Below are 19,878 nucleotides of genomic sequence, written 5' to 3'. Positions count from 1 at the left end.
GAAAATAGTTTGTTTTTGTAATTTCCCTAAACCACAATTTTCTCAACTGTAAAATGGGAATTATGTAGATTACAGTTAAACTACCTCCTAAGGTCATTTTGATGACTAAATGAACTAAAATACTTAAAATGATGCTTTGGCGTATATTGGCCACTCAAATGCAAGTTGTTATTCATGAAAATTCATGAATTTTATTGTCTCTTATTGAGAAGGGATATTATACCAAATTCATAAAATTCTCTTCCTAAGAGACTGATAATAGTGCTCTAATCTCTCAGCCTAGTTTTGAGCACTAATACATTAAATTTTGGAGAGTATTTCTATTGGTTTTTGCAATTTTTTAATAGATAGCACAAAACTTGCTGAAATGCTATTGAAGCTGAAAATATAAGTTTAACTAAGACTATATCCAGGGAGAGAAATGCATATTGTGTCTTTAAGTCGATTTTTTTTCTATTTAGGTAACAGCATGCATTGAGCTTTTAATTTTATTGGGAAGGCTGCTTTAGGATCTTTGGAAAAATAGCACAGAAGGAGACAGTTTTGTTCCTACCACCCTATCCTCCAGGCCTTGACCCCATGGGGAGTTTACAGTCTGGACATGACACTGATGCATTGCCTCCATGTTTGATGGGCAGAAAGGAATGTGTAATGATTAGTCCACATATCCTATCCAGTGAACACTTAGAAACAGCCTACCATGAATTTTCTTGAAAAGAATTTACTTTACAGTCTTTCTTTGCTAAGAACAATGGTTGATAAGAAAAATTAATGTATAATTGATAGTATACATTTTTCTTGCTAGTCTAAAGGTAACTGTTTTTTAAATTCATTCTTCTACTATGGATCTTTTGACAATCAAACATTTTCAAGTGTAGAGCCTGTGACAATGTGAAATAAGTTAACAGATTTTAAAAATATATATTCCTTTGGTGATACGAAAGCAGAGCTTTTTTCTATTTAGACAGATGCGTGGTAAATAAAAGTATCTAGAAATGTAAACAAAGTATAAATTCTGCTGATGTTTCTCATAAATTTTAGCAGGCTGAGCACGGTGGCTCACGCCTGTAATCTCAGCAATTTGGGAGACTGAGGCAGGTGGATCACATGAAGTCAGGAGTTTGAGACCAGCCTGGCCAACATGGTGAAACCCCATCTCTACTAAGAATACAAAAATTAGCCAGGCGTTGTGGCACAGGCCTGTAATCCCAGCTATATGGGAGGCTGAGGTAGGAGAACCGCTTGAACTCAGCGGTGAGCTGAGATTGTGCCATTGCACTCCAGCCTAGGCAACAAGCATGAAACTCTGTCTCAAAATGAATAAATAAATAAATGAATGTTTAGCAGAATAGAAAAATCTTTTTGACTGAATCTAGACTTCAACCATATTTTACACACATGACCGTTCTTAATTCTCATGCCCTCTTTCCATCTTTTTTCTGCAACAAAGAACCATGGCGATTAATATAAAAAAATAAGTTTGTCATATTTTATTTATTGTGTTTTTAGCTGTTCTGTATTATGAAATAATCATTTACATACGAAATAAGTGACTGTGGAGTAGAAAATGGAAGACTTGTGTTTTTGAATAATCAAAAGCCATTATATGTCTTTTTAAATTCAAATTTCCAACTATTGTGGACTGAGGAAAAAGTTGAATGTAACTCTTGATTTAATTGAATGTAAATCACTTTTCGATAATTGGTTCCTCTGCATTGCTTATCATTTTTGTTTGCTTTAGTTTACCTGGGATCCAAGTCAATGCACTTGCGATGATGCTTAAAATATAGACACAATCTTATCACTTCCTGGCTATCTTTTATACTTAGCTTTTTCCGTGCACTATTAGGAATATGCCTGGTTCTGGTCAATCTATACATATGTGAAATTATACTGAATATTATAGAGTTGTTACACTAGTGGAAAAAATTTTCATTTAAAAATTAACTAAAAGTTGCTTTTTGCATTACAGCTATGTTAGTCAACCAAAATGTTTAGAAGTCTTTTTTTTTAATTTTATTATTATTATACTTTAAGTTTTAGGGTACATGTGCACAATGTGTACATCACTATTCAGTTCAGGTACTATGAATAGTGATTCCAACTTGGCCAGGCTGCTGTGGCTTAAGTCTTGGCCTCATCATTTACCTGTTTGACCTTAATGTTCATTAACTACTCCATACCACATTATCTTCTTATTTAAAATGATACTTTTATAGATTTTTAAATTTGTTGTAAAGATTAAATTCATTAGTACATTAAAAGTACCTGACATATAGAAATCACTCATTGAACATTAGCATTTGACCTCCTTTGTGCTCTTTCTATTGGAAGACGTCTGCTCTAAACCTGATTATGCCTCTTGCAAGCTGTTAGACTCTAAGCAAGTCCTGTCATCTCTCCACCCAAAGATATCCTTGGTTTTAAAATAAAGATAAAATGCTTATTTGACACAATTGTCCGAACAATGAAATAAAATGTCATATATGATCAAGCCTAGTAGGTAGTAGGGGAATATGAAACAAATAAACATGAAAAATAAACACTTCCAGGCAACCTTACGCTTCTGAGATTGGGAGGAAGGCTGATTAAGCCTAGGAAATCACTCATTGTGTTTAAATTGTCAAATTGTGCAGCCAATGGATTCTGTTATTCAAGAATTGCACAATTCCTTTGGGTTTATTCATCTGTTTATTTATAAATTCATGTTTCAGTGGGGAACATCTTAAACAGCTCCATAGCGAGACAGCAGTTAGTTTGTGAGCACCTCAAAATTTGTGACAGAAACCTAAAATACCATTTGACAGTGTTTTCTTCCAAGAAGATAATCCTTAGAAAAACTGTAATACATGCAATCAGTAATTTTCTTAAAATATCTGTATTTTTAACATTTATTCTCATGGTTTTCTCAGAAAGGCTTATGATTGATCCAATTTTTAAATTAAATTTTAGCACACCTGAGCAGGAAATACTACATGTAGAAGGCTGAGTGCATTTAATTTTTACATCATTTCCTTCTTTTTCTTTGCTCTTCTCTTTCCCCTGTCCTACTTCTTTTTATCTCTGGTGTTTTTTGTTTGTTTCTTTTGTGTGTGTGTGACAGGGTTCTGCTCCGTCATCCAGGCTGGAGTGCAGTGGCATGGTCATATCTCACTGTATCCTTCACCCCCTGGGCTCAAGCAATCTTTCTGCCTCAACCTCTCGAGTAGCTGGGACTACATGATTCTGTGTTAGTATCTATGTTTTTTACTAAAATTGGTGAGGAGATGCTTTGAATGGGTAATTCATCACCCCATTAGCAGTCATGAATACCCCGGCTTGTATCAACTCCATTGGTGATCACTTGGCATCACTTTATGAGAATAAACAGAGATGAGATTAATAAGGGGGCTCAGACATCCAGAAGAGGCGGGTTTCATATGTGAGCCAGTACTGGGCATGGATGGAAAGGCTGAAAATAGAAAGTGAGGCAGTGCCACGGGAGAGCTGCTCTCTATCCTCACAAGCCCCAGTGCGGGAGGGGTTCCTCTTCTCTTACCATCTTCATTTTGTCACACTCCAAAAACTCAAGATATTACATGACCACACAACTTTACTTTTAACTTGTTTTGCTTTGTTTGGTATTGAGTCTATTTCATTTCACTGCAAACAGAAATCTACTGTGAAAGACCTTAATTTTTGGCATTGCCTGTCCTTTATCAGCTGCCTCATGTTTGTCTAGCTATATCCTGCCAGTGACTAAAATGACCCCCAAATGACAAGCTTTGGCAGGAGCATGTGTATGAACCTTTCAGACACAGACAAAATAATCTAGAGAAAAATTCTCCAAAGGCCCAGACATAACAAAGGCCTGCTAGGAAATCTAGATTGTTACCAGAGAGTAACTACTTGTCACCGTAGCATTAAAGACTTTGATTTCTCTTTCCAGACTCAAGCACAGGAGTGAGAAATATTATGATTATAATGAAATTTTAATTTTCATAATATTCATGGCTTGTGTAGCTGAGACCATGATCTTTTCTTCTCTGCCCCTTCACCCCCAGCCCCTCCTTCTCTTCTGTCCATTTCCACAAGGCATTTTCAGGTCACTGGATCGGCAAATTGATTAGTTTATATTTAAAGTTTAGGGACTGTTCAAAACTGAATGTGACATCTCCCTCAGTGGCAGCATGATAAAAGACAGTGATATTTTACTCCTGTCCCTCATTTTGGTCTCCAAGCTAAACCTAGAAAAATCTCAACAAACAAACATATTTGGGTAGCAAAAATAAAAGAACGAATTTATTACCACAAATTACCATTCATGAACAAAGCCATGAGTGATCGCTGAAGATGGATGATTTGCTTCATCTGTCCTTTAGTTAAGCAGTTCTCCACTTAATTCAGATGCTGGGAAAATATTTCCTTGGCAGATGGGTGAGCTGGAGATCAGTATTTATAGAATCATTATACCCTGTCACATTGTTGCAGAGAACACTCTGAGAGCTTGATGACCGGAGACTTTGCACTTCTGTGGTCGCATTTCTGTGATCCTTCCAGAAACCCTCTTCTAAAGACTGCCACTCCCTGTATGGCAAAGCATCTTCCAAAAGTCATTCTGAAGTGATCCTGCCTGGGTTTGTCTGAGCTGCTCTCTATGCTCTCAGCTATGGATAAGCTTCATACTCCTGCGTATGGCAAAGCATCTTCCAAAAGGCGATCCTGCCTGGGTTTGTCTGAGCTGCTCTCTATGCTCTCAGCTATGGATAAGCTTCATACTCCTGCGTATGGCAAAGCATCTTCCAAAAGGCATTCTGAAGTGATCCTGCCTGGGTTTGTCTGAGCTGCTCTCTATGCTCTCAGCTATGAATAAGCTTCATACTCCTGCAGCGTTAGGAATAGACACTTAAGTCTTATTCTCCCAGGTATAATCAAGTAAGAAAAGGGAAGGAATATGGATTGTAGATCAGTTTTTTAATATATTGGGTACATTTTGTTGGAAGCTCCAGGAGAGAAGGTTCAAAGTATGTAATCACAGTACTTTTCTCCATATAGTGTTTAGGAAAATATAGTAAAGAAGGCAATTAATAAAATGTTATTACAACAATGCTATCCTAAATGATTCCCAGAGGAATGCAATATAACAAAAACAATGTCTTCAAGTTTTCAAAATCTTGTTCCCATGGAGATGGGACTCTCATCCTCTCATAAAGGGCACATCACTAAAATAATACACTAAAATGAACAATGGCATTATTAAAAATAGAAAACCTATTCTAAATATACTCAGTTCTTAAATTTAGCATATTCTGATTTATGTAGGCAATGTTAAGAGAACAAAAACTCACTTTGATTTTCTTAAGTGTAAGTTTCTCCACGTTCTCTCATCCTTCATCCCTACCCACAGATGATTGAAATTGAGCAAGTGGCTGTCACTCTGACATACTGCCCCATTGTTTCCTATCTTTCACCATTCTGCCATTTGCCGGTTGCCAGTTGCATTATCTAAAATACAGTAATCTGGGCAGGAAAGCATTATTATCATCTTCATTTCACAGACGAGAAAGCTGAAATCAAGGGAAGTTAACATATCCCAGTATTGTAGCCGGTAAGTGATGAAGCCAGGTTTTGGACTTAAGTCTCCTCAACTTTAAAACCTAGGTTTTTCCAGAAACTCAGCTATGATCACTTCCCTAGGATTGTGTTCAGCATCAACAACATATTGTGCAAATAAAAGCTTATAACATTGTCTTTATAAAAAATAAACACTTTCTTTTTTTTCTCAGTGGTTACATCATAGAACAGGAATCCGATTCTGGGCAAAGTTGATTAGTTGTGTTATTAGTTCTGGTATCTCTGTGGGATAGTCACATCTCTGTGCTCTAAAATGTGGACCAAACCAGGCTAATGTTGTGCTCGAGGCTTCTTCCTCTCTCCGTAGAAACAGCCCCAGCCTTTATGCACTGGTGACATATGCTGCCATTTTAACTGTTTGGGTTGATGGTTTCACATCAACTTTATTTTCTGTTTCAAACCTGTTATATAATATAAAACCCACTGTGAGAGAATGTTCTGTTTCTAAACTAAAGTGAGGAGTTATGCCATTTCCACCATGCACCTAGTAAAAAGAGAATAGCTCATTTGGAGTGTGAAAATAACTAAATAGGGCCCAGAGGTAGCAGCAGTACCATCTTCTTTTCCTCTGCTCCACTGTTGCTTAATTTTAGAAGGACTTGATTCTTTCCTCCATTTTTCTCTAGGTATATTATTTTCATCATTCAACATTTAAGAACTTTTAGATCATGAAATTTTATAGTCAACCTTGGCAAGGTTTCTATGAAGAATTGGAAAATATCATCATTCTTTGTATCATCTTTGTATGGCTTTGGAAGGCTTCACTAATAACCTCTATATTTCTAAAACATGTGTTGGGGAAGGAGAGGAAAAGAGAAGTGACGGTACTTTTAATTCTTTAGATTATTTCCTTTGGAAATCTAGTAACCAGTCTGTAGTTTACCTACTTATAAATGAGTTGAGTCTCTTATTAAAATTAGTAACACAATGAAATGTTAAAACAAGAAACAACTAGTTTTTTTTTCAAAGATAATGACTAGTAATTGTGAAGATGTTCAGAAATTTTCAAGGTGGTATCCTCATGGTGGATGTTTAAATTGGTGTAGACTTTTTGAAGAACAATTTTTTAATCCCATAAAAATATTCAGAAGAACATATATTTTGACTAAACTTTTTATTTCCAAAATCATATTGTAAAATAATTTAGAACATGTGTATAGATATCAATACAAGTATGTTGATTACAATGCACAGTGAAACCACAAACTCATGCACGTCAAACTGATAAAAAACTATTTCCAACCAATTGACAATAGGAGATTGATTGGAAAATTTACCAATAGAGTTAACTACTATTTAGCCATCAAATATTATATTGTAAATATCTATTACCGATTTATCCATCCATCCATCCACCCATCTAAACTGTTCACATGGAAAGAAGTTTATAGTGTATTACTAAATAAAAATGTGTTACAAAATATGATTTCAAGCATGATCTTATAGACACACACAATACACAGAAGGACAAATGTACATGGTAAAGCCTGAATGAATATACAGCAAGGTGTTAAACATGTAAAATATACGGCTTTTTCCCTAATTTTTAAATCTGTACTCCATTTGTTTTCTTCAAAGGACATGTATGGCTTTTATATTAAAGGAGAAATTTTTTTTATAATCTCATAACCAACAAATATTCAAGTTGACCTACATTTTTTAATAGTCTTCTGTAAATTGGAATGGATATATTTTATTTTTATTAAGGATATAATACAGATTTAGAAATGGTAAAATTAGATCGTATAACAGGAGTAATTAACAGATGACACTTTCTTGATCTTTCCCACCCAAAAATTAAATTGTGTTGTGATTACACATCAGTTTCACTGTTCTTAAAAGTCCCTACTGAAAATGTGTTTGATTTATATTAAATAGATTAGTTCCCGTAACAAGTTCAAGAGAACAGCTGCTCACATCCTGGAAAACATGAACATTTACATCCATATTCATATTTTTGTAGTTCAAGAGAGCAATAAAAAAAAACACGTGGAAAGAACTGAGAAATATACCAACCATCTTGTTATTTAAAGGCTGTCAATTATCCAAATGTGTGACCCAAAGGCAATGGAATTACATTACATTACATGACTGAACGTCACTATCTTTGTACTTTCCCAGTGCAAGATGTCAAGTCTTTCTAGCACCTGACCTATAATATCACAGTTTAATGGGAAGACTTATAGAACCCAAAATACACAGATGCCTTAGGAAGTGCAGAATAGCACTGTTGAGTACTGAGGTCTGTTCATCAAATGAACAGTCAACAGAAATGACTTTTAATAAAGGTGGAGTGACTTGGAGAGGTCTTTCCTCACATGGGAAATAATAAGAAATTTAGTAGCTGTGGATCAATATGTTTTCAAGACAGATATTCAGAAGATCATTCCATTGCTTTCAGGTAGTAAAGATTTGTGCCAGTCTCTAGCAGCCCATGCATACGTAATAGATACACACCAATTAGATGGCAGTTGGTAATCTGATTTTCCTTTATTTTTCTCTTGGCGATCATTATAGTGTTGTCTAATAAGATGGAATTAGAGGATCTCTAGAGGATGGTAATTTCTACCTGAATTACAAATAGGGATGCAGTGAAATAGGATGATTCATTCTCACCTGTAGCCTGGTCTCATCCCTGCCTTGATTCTCAGTGCAATCTAAAGCTTGTTGTGTTATACACCCATTCCAATGCAATCTAAAGCTTCTTGTATTATACACCCATTCCCTGATTTCTTTATTCTTCATCTGCTCCACTTTATTCCAACAAATAACAAAATGCCTTGGTACTGAAGAAACTCATTATAGCTTTCTCATTATTATATTATCTAAAAGACATCCCCGGGAGAACCATGTCCTTTAAATATAGAAATATAGAGTGAAAAGTTAATAACCCCCTGTGATTATTTTGATGAAAATCAGAGGCATTTTCACAGCTCTTCCATTTTCAGAGTGAGCTCTCACAGGGATAAGCTCCTTGGCAATTAATATAAAGAGTTTGATGAACATCACTTGACAAAGAGATGGAGTCACAGAGTCCCTGAATGTCACCACCTGTTGGACAGTGTCAGAGCGAGGTGGGACTCACCTCTCTTACCTAGCCAGTCTTGATTCATGCTTTGTTGCTCACTAACTAGGAGTCTAGAGACGTGCTCATTGTTCTATACTCTGCCCAGTTTTGTTTTTATGTGCCCTATTTCCCACATCTATACAATAAATGCAATGCATTCATGGCTTTTGATTATGAGACACATTTGCCTCAAAATGCAACTTGCTGACCATACCTCAGATTTATTAATACTTGAACACATACACTATACATAAAGCATTATATTCAGTTTAGACCATTTCATGATTCAGAGGGAGATCATCACAACTGAGGTTATACCTTAGACCCTTGTTACTCATGAAAACAACTACTTCCTTTCCTTTTGTTTTCTCTAAAACAAATTTAGAGGACCATGCTAATTAAAATAGCTGCACTGGGGATTACAGTTTAAAACTTTATTTATAAATGTGTTATATCCTTTGTTTTCTAGAAAATTGATTTCTTTCTGATTTATCAGTATTTGACCACACTCTAAGAAGTAAGATTTTGGCCGGGCGCGGTGGCTCACGCCTGTAATCCCAGCACTTTGGGAGGCCGAGGCGGGTGGATCATGAGGTCAGGAGATCGAGACCATCCTGGCTAACAAGGTGAAACCCCGTCTCTACTAAAAATACAAAAAATTAGCCAGGCGCGGTGGCGGGCGCCTGTAGTCCCAGCTACTCGGGAGGCTGAGGCAGGAGAATGGCGTGAACCCGGGAAGCGGAGCTTGCAGTGAGCCGAGATTGCGCCACTGCAGTCCGCAGTCCGACCTGGGCGACAGAGCGAGACTCCGTCTCAAAAAAAAAAAAAAAAAAAAAAAAAAAAGAAGTAAGATTTTGTGACTCATATTTCAGTCCTTGGTATTTTTCAAGGCCTTTGGTTATTTATTTTGGCTTATTGTAGGTACTAAAAGGCTTGTGTCTTTCAAAATTCAGTTTGGTTGCTTTTGGTTTGGGTGTGCTTGGGTGGAACAAAAAAGGAGTTACCTTTTAAAAAAAGGTCAGGAGTTTCTACAAAACTTCTATGATATTTTGTGGTATTTGTAAAATAAGTTTGCTTTCAGGGTCTCACTACATAATGACAACAGATTGAAAATAGGTGGCCTCACACTGAGGCAGTGGTTTGCCAGATCTACCTTGTGGTTAACTGGCTGGCTTATCCCAAGGCCCCCAGTATTCACCATCAGTATTGTTGATTGGCAAGTAACACCTGCTGTTCTTCATCAGCTGTCTTTATTTATGCCTTATTGCTTTGTAATTACACATGGATATATTTTAGTTCACAAATAAGTTTTTTGTAACAATTTTTCTTGAAATAATTTCAGATTTACATGAAGTTGCAAATATAATGAGTTCTGTATACATTTCCCCAGGTTCTCCCCTTGTTAACATTTTCCCCAATAAGATTTTAAACTTCTTAATGACAGAATATGTCCCATTTGTCTCTTGAGCCCTTTGTAGCACTAAGAACTTGTACCTAGTACTTACTGATTTTATTTGAATAAATTGAGGGTAGATAGACAACTGGAGAAGTAATTTCAGCTCATGTACACTTTACAGATAAGTAAGAGTGGTGGTTGTATTTATTACAAGTACAATACAAACACCCTACATAATTGCAAGCTTGGGAACAAGCTCTCATTTGCTTTAATTTTTCTTATGACTTTTCCAAATGATTATCATGATGGCCTTAATTATGCAAAGGCTTTGCCTAATTTATCTCAGAAATGCTTGAGAGATCAAAATTGGTCCATTTCTCCAAACAGATTACAAATTATATCAGGAATAGTATTTCAGGAAAGATTGACATTTATTTCATGTATTATATCAGGTTTATGTGTTTTACTAGCTAGTTTTATAAGATTAATTTACATCATTGGACTTTTCCGTGTTTTATTGGTGCTGAGAAGCCTTTAAAAACGTGTCATCTAATGTCCTTTTTCGGATGACTTTGGAACTCTCAGCAGTCATCTTTGTAAATATCATATTTGCTTGTGCTGATGTGCACTGAACTTTAAAAATCAGAGAAACTTCTAACATCAGTCAGAAAAACATACATAGCATATTGGAGAGATCTGTGAACTGGCACTGTTCCTGCTCTGTGGAAAGAAAAAGATGAAAAGCATTAAAACCTTGAAGCCTAGTGCACATTAAATGTTTTGTATGGTGCTGGCATTGAACACAGAAATCTCTGTGCAAGTTTAAAAACTCTTATTTGCATAGAGAATGCTGTAATTCAAGAGCAAAATAGACATTTCTTGGGCTTATTTGCATTTGATTATATATCCATGTAGGGATTTTGATAACAGCATCACTGAATGGATATGATAACTAAAAAGGAGTCCTTTCTGTGGAAAACAGGTACTAAAGCAAAACTTGCACAATTTGTATTAAAGTTTGAATTACTTTCTCAGAATAAATCCCAGTAATAAATGAAATCATATGTCCAAATGTCATCCATTGCCTGACATTCCTAATGCAATCTCTTCTTTGGAAAGGAATTGATGCCTCCACATAAATGCCTGTGTGTTAGTTCATTTTCATGCTGCTATGAAGAAATACCCATGACTGGGTAATTTATAAAGGAAAGAGGTTTAATTAACTCACAGTTCCACAGGACTGGGGAGGCCTCAGGAAACTTACAGTCATATCAGAAGGGGACGCAAACACATCCTTCTTCACATGGTGGAAGGAAGAAGTGCCAAGCAAAGGGGGTAAAGCCCCATATAAAACCATCAGATATTGTGAGAATTCACTCACTATCATGAGAACAGCAGCATGGGGGTTACAGCCCCCATGATTCAATTACCTCCCATCGGATGCCTCCCATGACCTGTGGGGATTATGGGATTCAAAATGGGATTTGGGTGGGGACACAGCCAAACCATATCAGCCTGTTTCTCCAAAGGCAACTCAGTCAAGATAATTACTGAGGAATAAGATAACCTCACATCCAGTTCCAATCAGTAATCAGGTTCATTGGTGCATCGAGGGACTATAACTAGAGAGAGGCTTGTTGTTATAGAGAGAGAGCATCACTAAAGTTTTCACACATTCCAGTAAAGATCAGGTTGTTTTGCTACAGAGAATACTTTGGCTGAAGTGTCTCTGGTTTCAAAAGAAGGCTCCCAGTCACACTTTTGCATATGCCATCCCTTGGTCTATGGTATGGTGAACCTAGTACATTCCAGTCTGGTCTGATGAAACAGCTGTTGTCTACTCCTGCATTGAACATAACATTCTGAAGTGACTCATCTCTTTTCTCTCCTCAAATGTAATCGAACTAGCAGAAAATGTCTGGAATTATTTCTAGACCCTTTTCAAGTATAAGTTTATTAGGAATGTCCCTTTCCCTCTCTCCTAAAGTCACCGTATACTTTACCTTCCAACCTGATGGAGTAAATGCTATTTTATTTTATTTGTGTTATTTTGATTGAATAATGCTAGTCAATGCAGAAGCATGGGATACAAGCTCCCTGATGAAATCTGGTACTCAGCAGCACTTGAATCAACTTGGCAACTTTCCTGTCAGTGGGAATAACATAGAGATAACTCTCTGGGGAGGTATGAGAAAGCAAGAGGGGACATTTGAGAAAACAACAAAAGCACCAGGGAGTTGAAAAGCCGGGATTTCTTCTCCATTTGATCACTAACTGAGTGGTGTCTTCGATTTCCTTATAAAGTTCAATATCTATTCATTTTGGCTATATATATGGGCATTGGAAGCATTTAAAATATCCACTAGTTCCAACTAGAGGATGCCATTTTTGAAACCAGAAGAAAGCTGTCAAAGGAAAGAGCAGGCCTTGCTTCTTCAGGTATTTCTTAGCATTATGTGCATTTTCTATGTAAATTGTTCCCAATGCCCAAATTAAAAAAAAAAAAAAAGCTAACCCCTTGCAATAAAGAAACAAGCAAACCAAACAAAAAGAAAGCACCCAGACAACAACAACAAAAACTCAAACATATACTTGGTCACAACATCTTTGATGTAAGAAACTAAGCTTATCTTGTGGCCTATGGTCCCTCAGCTTAGCATTGTATTCCCATAGAAATAGTTACGTGGTTCCTGAGACAGCTCATGTCTTACACTGCCCTGCCCACCATTAGGCACAGAAACACACATTTATAATCCAGTCAGCCTCATCAAATTTATTTCAGTCCCTCAAGTGAATCTTTTTTTAATTTGAAATTTTTATTTTCTCATTGAAACTGTCAGCATTAAGAAACTTACCTGGAATCCCATGGCTCTCTTTATTCACAGGGAGTATTCAATTTCCTCTGTAGTACATGGTCTTCTGGACATATTCTAAGCAATATATTTGTTAGCACAGTCGTTTCAACTGGGTAAAACTTACTGGCAATAAGACTTGAATTTACTTTGTTATACATTTCCAGTGATAACCAAAGCTTAGGTGCTTTAATATTATAAATTTTAATTCTCTCATTTTTTGTATCTATGAATAATTTTCCAAGCGTGACTGTTCATATAACAAAGTAACTGTCTATACTAAATTTTGGAGTTTTTCCATATATCCACTCCCAAGCCTGTCATTCTGTGACTTTGCTGTTAATTTCAGGAAGCAGTGTTGGGTTTATTAATTTAATGTGGGAAAGTCAACTCTAAGGACACAGCTGTAAGGAAAGTCAACTTGATATTACCCATATCATCTGTTGGGTTTATTAATTTAATGTGATTATCAATTTGATGATAAGCAGAATATTCTGCAGCAATAGCATTCAGCAGTACTTGCACGCCAGAATGAGATCCTTTTCCAAAATAGTTTTAGCTAAGTAAGGTATCTTAGCAGTTATATTGCTCCTAATCACTTGATAAGGGCTCTTTACCAAAGAAGACAAGATAGTCCCATTAGCGCTACGTAATAAGGTGCAATAAAGTGATCAACAGTCATCTAGCTAATCTTAGAAGCTGTTCCTGACATTTTAAACTGTTCTTCAAGTAAAAGGGCAAATATTTTGGTAGGCTGCACATTCCATTTGGGTTGGACAGCATTCAGAGCTCTCACAACTAACTTCAGATTTTCCATTGTATCATACTTGTTTGCAGCTGTAAGGAAAGTCAACTTGATACTATCCATATCACAGTAGGCTGCTCCTCCTCCACTTCTTCTGGACAGTTTTATACCTTCCCTCAACAGGTTCAGGTTACACTCCTGCCAAGGACTGTGGTGCCTATCATTTATAACAGCAGCAGACTTTCTCCAAAAGGAAAAAACTGGCTTGTCTTTTAGATTTATATGGGCGTGGATCCAATCTTCTATGGCCAGATTTTGGTAAACATCATTGGAAATTAACTGTGAAATAAGCCCATTTTTTTTTTAACTACACTTTTAAAGTCAGCTTCTGGAATCTTGAGGCGTTACAGAATTACTGAAAGCCATTCTCCATTGGCAGTGGGATCAAGGGTCCCAGGCATGTTTTATTTCACTTTTTTGGCTCTTGCTGGGTGTGCACACAGCTGGCATCCACAGGTTTTATATTTTATAGCCTCCTGTGTTGGGAATAAACCATTCCTAATCATGAAATTGGATCATCCCAAGAGCTAAGCGTAAGCTGCAGTGCCTGTAGCACCAGCCAGGGATGGTCCCAGGAGGTGTAGATGTGGGACCTGGCCTCAGGGTCTCTGGTTCCCACCTGCCACCTAAATGAGGGGCACAGGACACAGCATACCTCCCTTGGAATTAATCTTTTTGCTCTTCTCTTTCTCTGGTTTTCTTGCAGTGCTCTTCTCTTTATTCTTTATTCTGTTGACAAATCCATTGGTTTCTAAGTTAGATGTTATTTCCTTGACAGTCGTTCCCAATCTACTCCAGATGAAATTAGGCCTTCATTTTAAGTGGACATCACTTGTGATGTCCCTGGCATAGGACTTATGTCCCTGCAAGGTACTACCATATAATGTAATGTAAATAGTATATCTCTTTATCTATATTCCCAGCTCCAGAGTTACTCTTACGGGTGTGGGATACACCCATGTTCTTAGAATGGGCAGTGGACATGTGGATCATTTGATCTCCTAACCCTCAAGGGTACCTGGCAGAACTTAGGGTCTCATCCCTTTATTCCAGTAAAAATATTATATTTTCTGGGCACCCAGGTGTGAAAGTACATGATCCAAAAGTCTCTTTGAGCCTAATGCTTGCTGGTTTTCCTGTCATAAGGCTTTCTTGGTGAGCATCCATCACTCAAAAATTTTGTTCCTGGATTTTATCCCTCCTCTGAAACCAGGTATTATGCTTAGGATGATTTTCCTTATTTCCAGTCATAAAATACAATGTATCAAAATGTTTTTAGTGTGTCCTTTTCCCAGAATTGTTCTTAAATAATCAATACAATATTTTTCCTATGAATCCTTTTAAACATTTTCAATTTATTCTTTAATTGTTCTGCTCCTGCTGCTGCCTATATCATAACATTTAATACTTTAGATCTTCCTTCTTGGTTTCCATGACATCACTTTTTGCTATTTATGCTCTCTGTTTCCTGACTCTATTCTTCATCCCAACCCTAAATCATGACCCTCTCCCTAAACTCCAGCCTTGAACTTTTGTTCTAGTCTCTGCCCTTTAAGGATTCCTTGGCTTTTGTTCCCCAGGCTTTTGCTGTCCTCAGTAAATAAATGACTTTCCATCTCATCTCCAGCTGAAGCCTCTCATTTATAGTTTCAGTTGATTATAGGACATTTCCATTGGCATTTTCTATCACAGCCAAATTGTAAGAGTACAAAAAGGAGCATTAGTTCCCTTTGAGATCAGAGGTGTAGTGAGCAGGTGAGCTGAGATCACTATGAGCATTTGCATTTGGGAACACAGTGATAATGGGAGTCAGGGATGAAAACTGAGGGTGACCAAAAAGCCAGCGATAAAGGGAGAAAGCAAAAAGTATGGACTAGATAAAGCCAGCTCAGAATATTTCCTTGCTGGACTGTTTCTCTGCTATTCAGATACCTTTTTTTCTTTTATAGTAACAAAAATACATACTTGTGAAGAATATGTGAAAATCACAAAACTATAAATGAGGCCAATTTACCTGCAATATTATCACCTAGAGTTAATGGTCATTAATATTTTGGTGTATATTCTTCCATACAGCCTCTTTACAGATATTTGCATCATAATGTACCTACTTTTTGTACTCTGTTTTTAAAACAATATAAGCATTTTCACATGCTGTGAAATGTTCTAGAACATGAGATTTTTTTTGTTTTTGTTTTTGAGACGGAGTCTTGCTCTGTCGCCCAGGCTGGAGTGCAGTGGCACAATCTCAGCTCACTGCAAGCTCCGCCTCCCAGGTTCAAGCCATTCTCCTGTCTCAGCCTCCTCAGTAGCTGGGATTACAGGTGCCCGCCACCAGGCCCGGCTAATTTTTTTTTGTATTTTTTAGTAGAGACGGGGTTTTACCGTGTTAGCCAGGATGGTCTCGATCTCCTGACCTCGTGATCCGCCCGCCTCGGCCTCCCAAAGTGCTGGGATTACAGGCGTGAGCCACCGCGCCCGGCAAACATGAGTTTTTTAATGGATATACTGAGCTTCAGTATATAGGTTTTATATCATGTATTTAGAAAAGTCCCTATTGTTAAATCTCAGAGTTAAGAATAGCTTTGAAGAAACTCAAGGAATTTGAGTGACCTATGGAGAAACCCCCTTTGAGTGGATCCTTAGTGGCAGAAATAGAGAAGAAATAGTGTGAACCACTAACAGAAACATAGCTTCAAGAGTCAGAAGATAAGGGCCTGGCACTTCACTTATCGTATATATGATGGGATCCATTACCTCACATTTCTGAGTCTCTCTTTATCTATAAAATTAAGAGTCTTGGGTTAGTTTACCTCTCAGCTCCTTTAGCTCTGACATTTTAAAAAGTCACTGAGGATAATGCATGAAGAATAGTTAAGTGCATGGCATGGAATTCTAGTGGAAGCTGAGAAATGTGGAATTCAGGTCAAAGCTCCTGAAATGAGAATAAAGTAATTGTCCCATTTCCGAAGCAGCCACCCACTCATGGATTCTTCTGTCCTCCCAGCCTTTCACCCCTATCTCCAGGAGGCAGATGCTTCCACCAAGAAGAGCTACTTTGCAAAATAGTTTGCTGCTTTTGGAGATCTGTGTGTTAAGAGGAGAATAGAACAAAGAGACTATGAAAAGCAGAAACAGCTGATGCTGTGGGCGACCCAGACTACCACACCATGGCCCTCTGGTCTTTAACCCAGTCTCTACACATTGCTAGATTTTTTCCATTTTCTTTTGACTCTCATCTAGAAATTCAACTCATAATTTAATCAATTTCTTTCAGTGTTTCTTATCACTTATTAATCTATATCACCTTTGATGAAGATTTAAAAATGCACATTCTTCTTTAATGTTAAATTATAAAATGAGTACTGTGACTAATTAGATAATAAGGTTGAGGTTTTCTCATTGATTGCTTTCTAAATAAATTATGCCCCAGTCTGCCTCTCCCTAGTCTTAGCATTTGGTTTTTCACTTGGAGATTCTGAGAAGCATAGTTTGAAATCATTTATAGGGTTAATAAATAGGTGAACCTCTTAGAATACTAGGGTTAAATTTTTGGCTTATAGAGATTTTAGAAAGTATTTTGGAAAAGAAAAAAATGGGTGTTTAATAAGCACATACTGTAGAGCAGACACTCTAGGTGTTTTGTGCTATGTGTGTAATTTTATGGGATAGGTATTACTCTTCACCACTCACCCCTAGGGAAACAAAGGTGCAGAGAGATCCAAAGCCACACAGCCGAGATGGCATGCAAACTACATTTTGGCCACTTACAAAGTTCCTCCCATTACATCATGATCATATGCATACACCGACGGGGAGCCTCCAGCCTATGTGCAGATGTGAAGATTTTCAATGTGTGAGGGTAGACTGGAGCATTGACTGAAGGTCTTGCACAGAATCTGTAAATACATTTCAGAAATACTTCAGAATCACAAAACAAAATCCAACTAATAAACAACAATCTTTCAAGAACTGATTTGAACCTAATACAATTTTCTAACCTATCTAAGATGATCATACCTCTTTGGATAGTCCTATTTGATAGCTATTAACCCACTGTAATTAATAGCACCCCATTCTCTCCCAAAGAGTTCTGGTTTGTATGACAAATAACATGATCCTTCTATTTATATTATGTTTAGTCATTAAAATTTTTGTGGTCTTAAATCATACATCAAAAAAGGGCCCAAGAGAAAACATTTAAAGAGGAAATTCCCAGGGCCTTATACTGCATAATTGTACCAAGAAATGTTCCAATATTCTTTAATGTTGTCTTGAGAGTAAGCAGAAGTCCTATGGTGCATTCTCCTTCTAAGGATATCTTTCATTTTTCCATTAGAGCATCAGTGCTTTTTTTAATATGAATTTAGTTTTTTTTGAGAAGCGTATTGCGACTGAATGAAATGGAATATGATATCTTAACCCAATTAGCAAATCAAAAGAGTTCCAAGTATCGTAAAAGATTATATTCAGGATTTTTTGCTAAATGAGTAAATTGTAGCTGCTCTGGCCACGCACACACACACAAAGGGGTGTGATGATAGATACATTCATTTGCTTCACTGTAGTAACTGTTTTGCTATCTATAGGTATCCCATAACATCATGTTGTGTACTTAAATATGCACAATTAAATTAATGTAAAAAATTTAAAAACTAAAGATAAGAAAGAAAACTTCAAAAAATGGGCTGAAAAACCCCAAGCCTTGGGGACAGACGAACAGTAATCTCTTCTATTAGGGGCCTACTATTTTGCCACCAAAATACTGCAACTTCTAAACTCCCAAACTCTGTAGACTTCTCTCATGTGTATGCTGCAATTATGTTATAGCTTGTAATGCAGTGGTTTTCAGTGTGCTCCCCGGACTAGCAACATCTCTATCACCTGGAAGCTTGTTAGAAGTAAATTTTTGGACCTGGCCCAGACCTACTGAATCAGAACCTCTAGACCTGGGGTCCAGCAATCTGCTTTTAAGCATGATTTTAAGCAAGAAGTGATTCTGATCTTTGCTTAAATTTTAAAACCACTGTTATAATGCCTAAAATCTGTAAAATCAGTTATCTCCATGAGTCTTAGCATTAATAATTTTATTTAATTTAGTAAATAGGACATAGTTGTCTTGTGATTGAGAGTTATACATGTAGTAACCAATCAACTTGAAAACTCTTGAAACTGGGATATCTGAGAGCTCCAAGTCCAAAATCAAAGCAGCATCCATTCATTTAATTTTTATTTAAGACTCAGTGCATAGTGGGCACTGTTCTAGAAGCAGATGGTGTAGCATTGTTTGTAAGCAAAACAAAGGCCCTGCTGTCATGGAACATTTTGTTTTCTACCGGGGAAAGACAGACAATAAACAATAAATGCACACATGTGGAGTAGTGTATAGTATCAAGACTGGTGGTGAAAACTGCTAGGAAGTGCTTTGAAGCCTAGTAAAAGAGTGCCCGGCTGAGCGACCACTGCTAATTCAGCTGGCTGCAGAAGCCCTTCTCATCAGATGGCATTTAAATAAAGTGAGAGTGAGTGGTGCCCTCAGCAGAGGGAACAGCAGGTGCAACTGCCTTGAGGCAGGAATATGCCAGGCATCAGAGAGCACCCTTCCTACACTTGTTTTATAATTAGGGTGCTGGTGGATTCCATTGGTTTCTGTTGCTTCCTCTCTATGTTTGGAAGGTAGAGAAAATTGTTCCATGCAGCAGTAATTTTGTAAACCAGCTTCCTTGATGTCACTTATAAGTTTGGAAGGAAGAGCAATGAAAACCTAAAGGAGATCACTTGAAGTATCAGGAATGCCTTTTATTTACTGACCACCAATTCCTAACTTACTTACAAACTAGATTTGTGAGGGAGCTGCTACATGAATTCCCAATGGTCAGCTCTTTATTCTCAGATCTGCCTCTCTCTGAGTTCCATTTCAGGGACAAGATTTCAACCACGCCAAAACCCAAGTTATATTTTATCTCATCTTTTTCTTTATCCATCCCCCAAATCTAATCCGAGTTTATCAGCTACATCTCCTAGTTGTTTTCATGACCACTTCTCTTTTTCTCCTCATCATTTTTCACCTGAATTACTCAGCCCCCAAACAACTGTCCTTGTCTCCATTCTGTAAGTCATCCATTTTGCCACTGGAGTCTGATTC

At 37.1% G+C, this 19,878-nt stretch overlaps 1 protein-coding gene and 1 pseudogene across 21 annotated transcripts in view; one reads left to right on the top strand and one right to left on the bottom strand.

The window, feature by feature from the left end:
* The window catches only part of FGF14 (fibroblast growth factor 14), a 691,640-nt gene that overhangs the window by 386,193 nt on the left and 285,569 nt on the right, over positions 1–19,878 (top strand). The window lies entirely within an intron of this gene.
* On the bottom strand, positions 13,365–14,120 carry LIPT1P1 (lipoyltransferase 1 pseudogene 1; annotated as a pseudogene).

Source organism: Homo sapiens, chromosome 13, assembly GCF_000001405.40.
Source record: "Homo sapiens chromosome 13, GRCh38.p14 Primary Assembly".
Taxonomy (NCBI): domain Eukaryota; kingdom Metazoa; phylum Chordata; class Mammalia; order Primates; family Hominidae; genus Homo; species Homo sapiens.
Note: the sequence above shows the minus strand (reverse complement) of the source record. Positions and strands in the feature narration are given on the sequence as shown.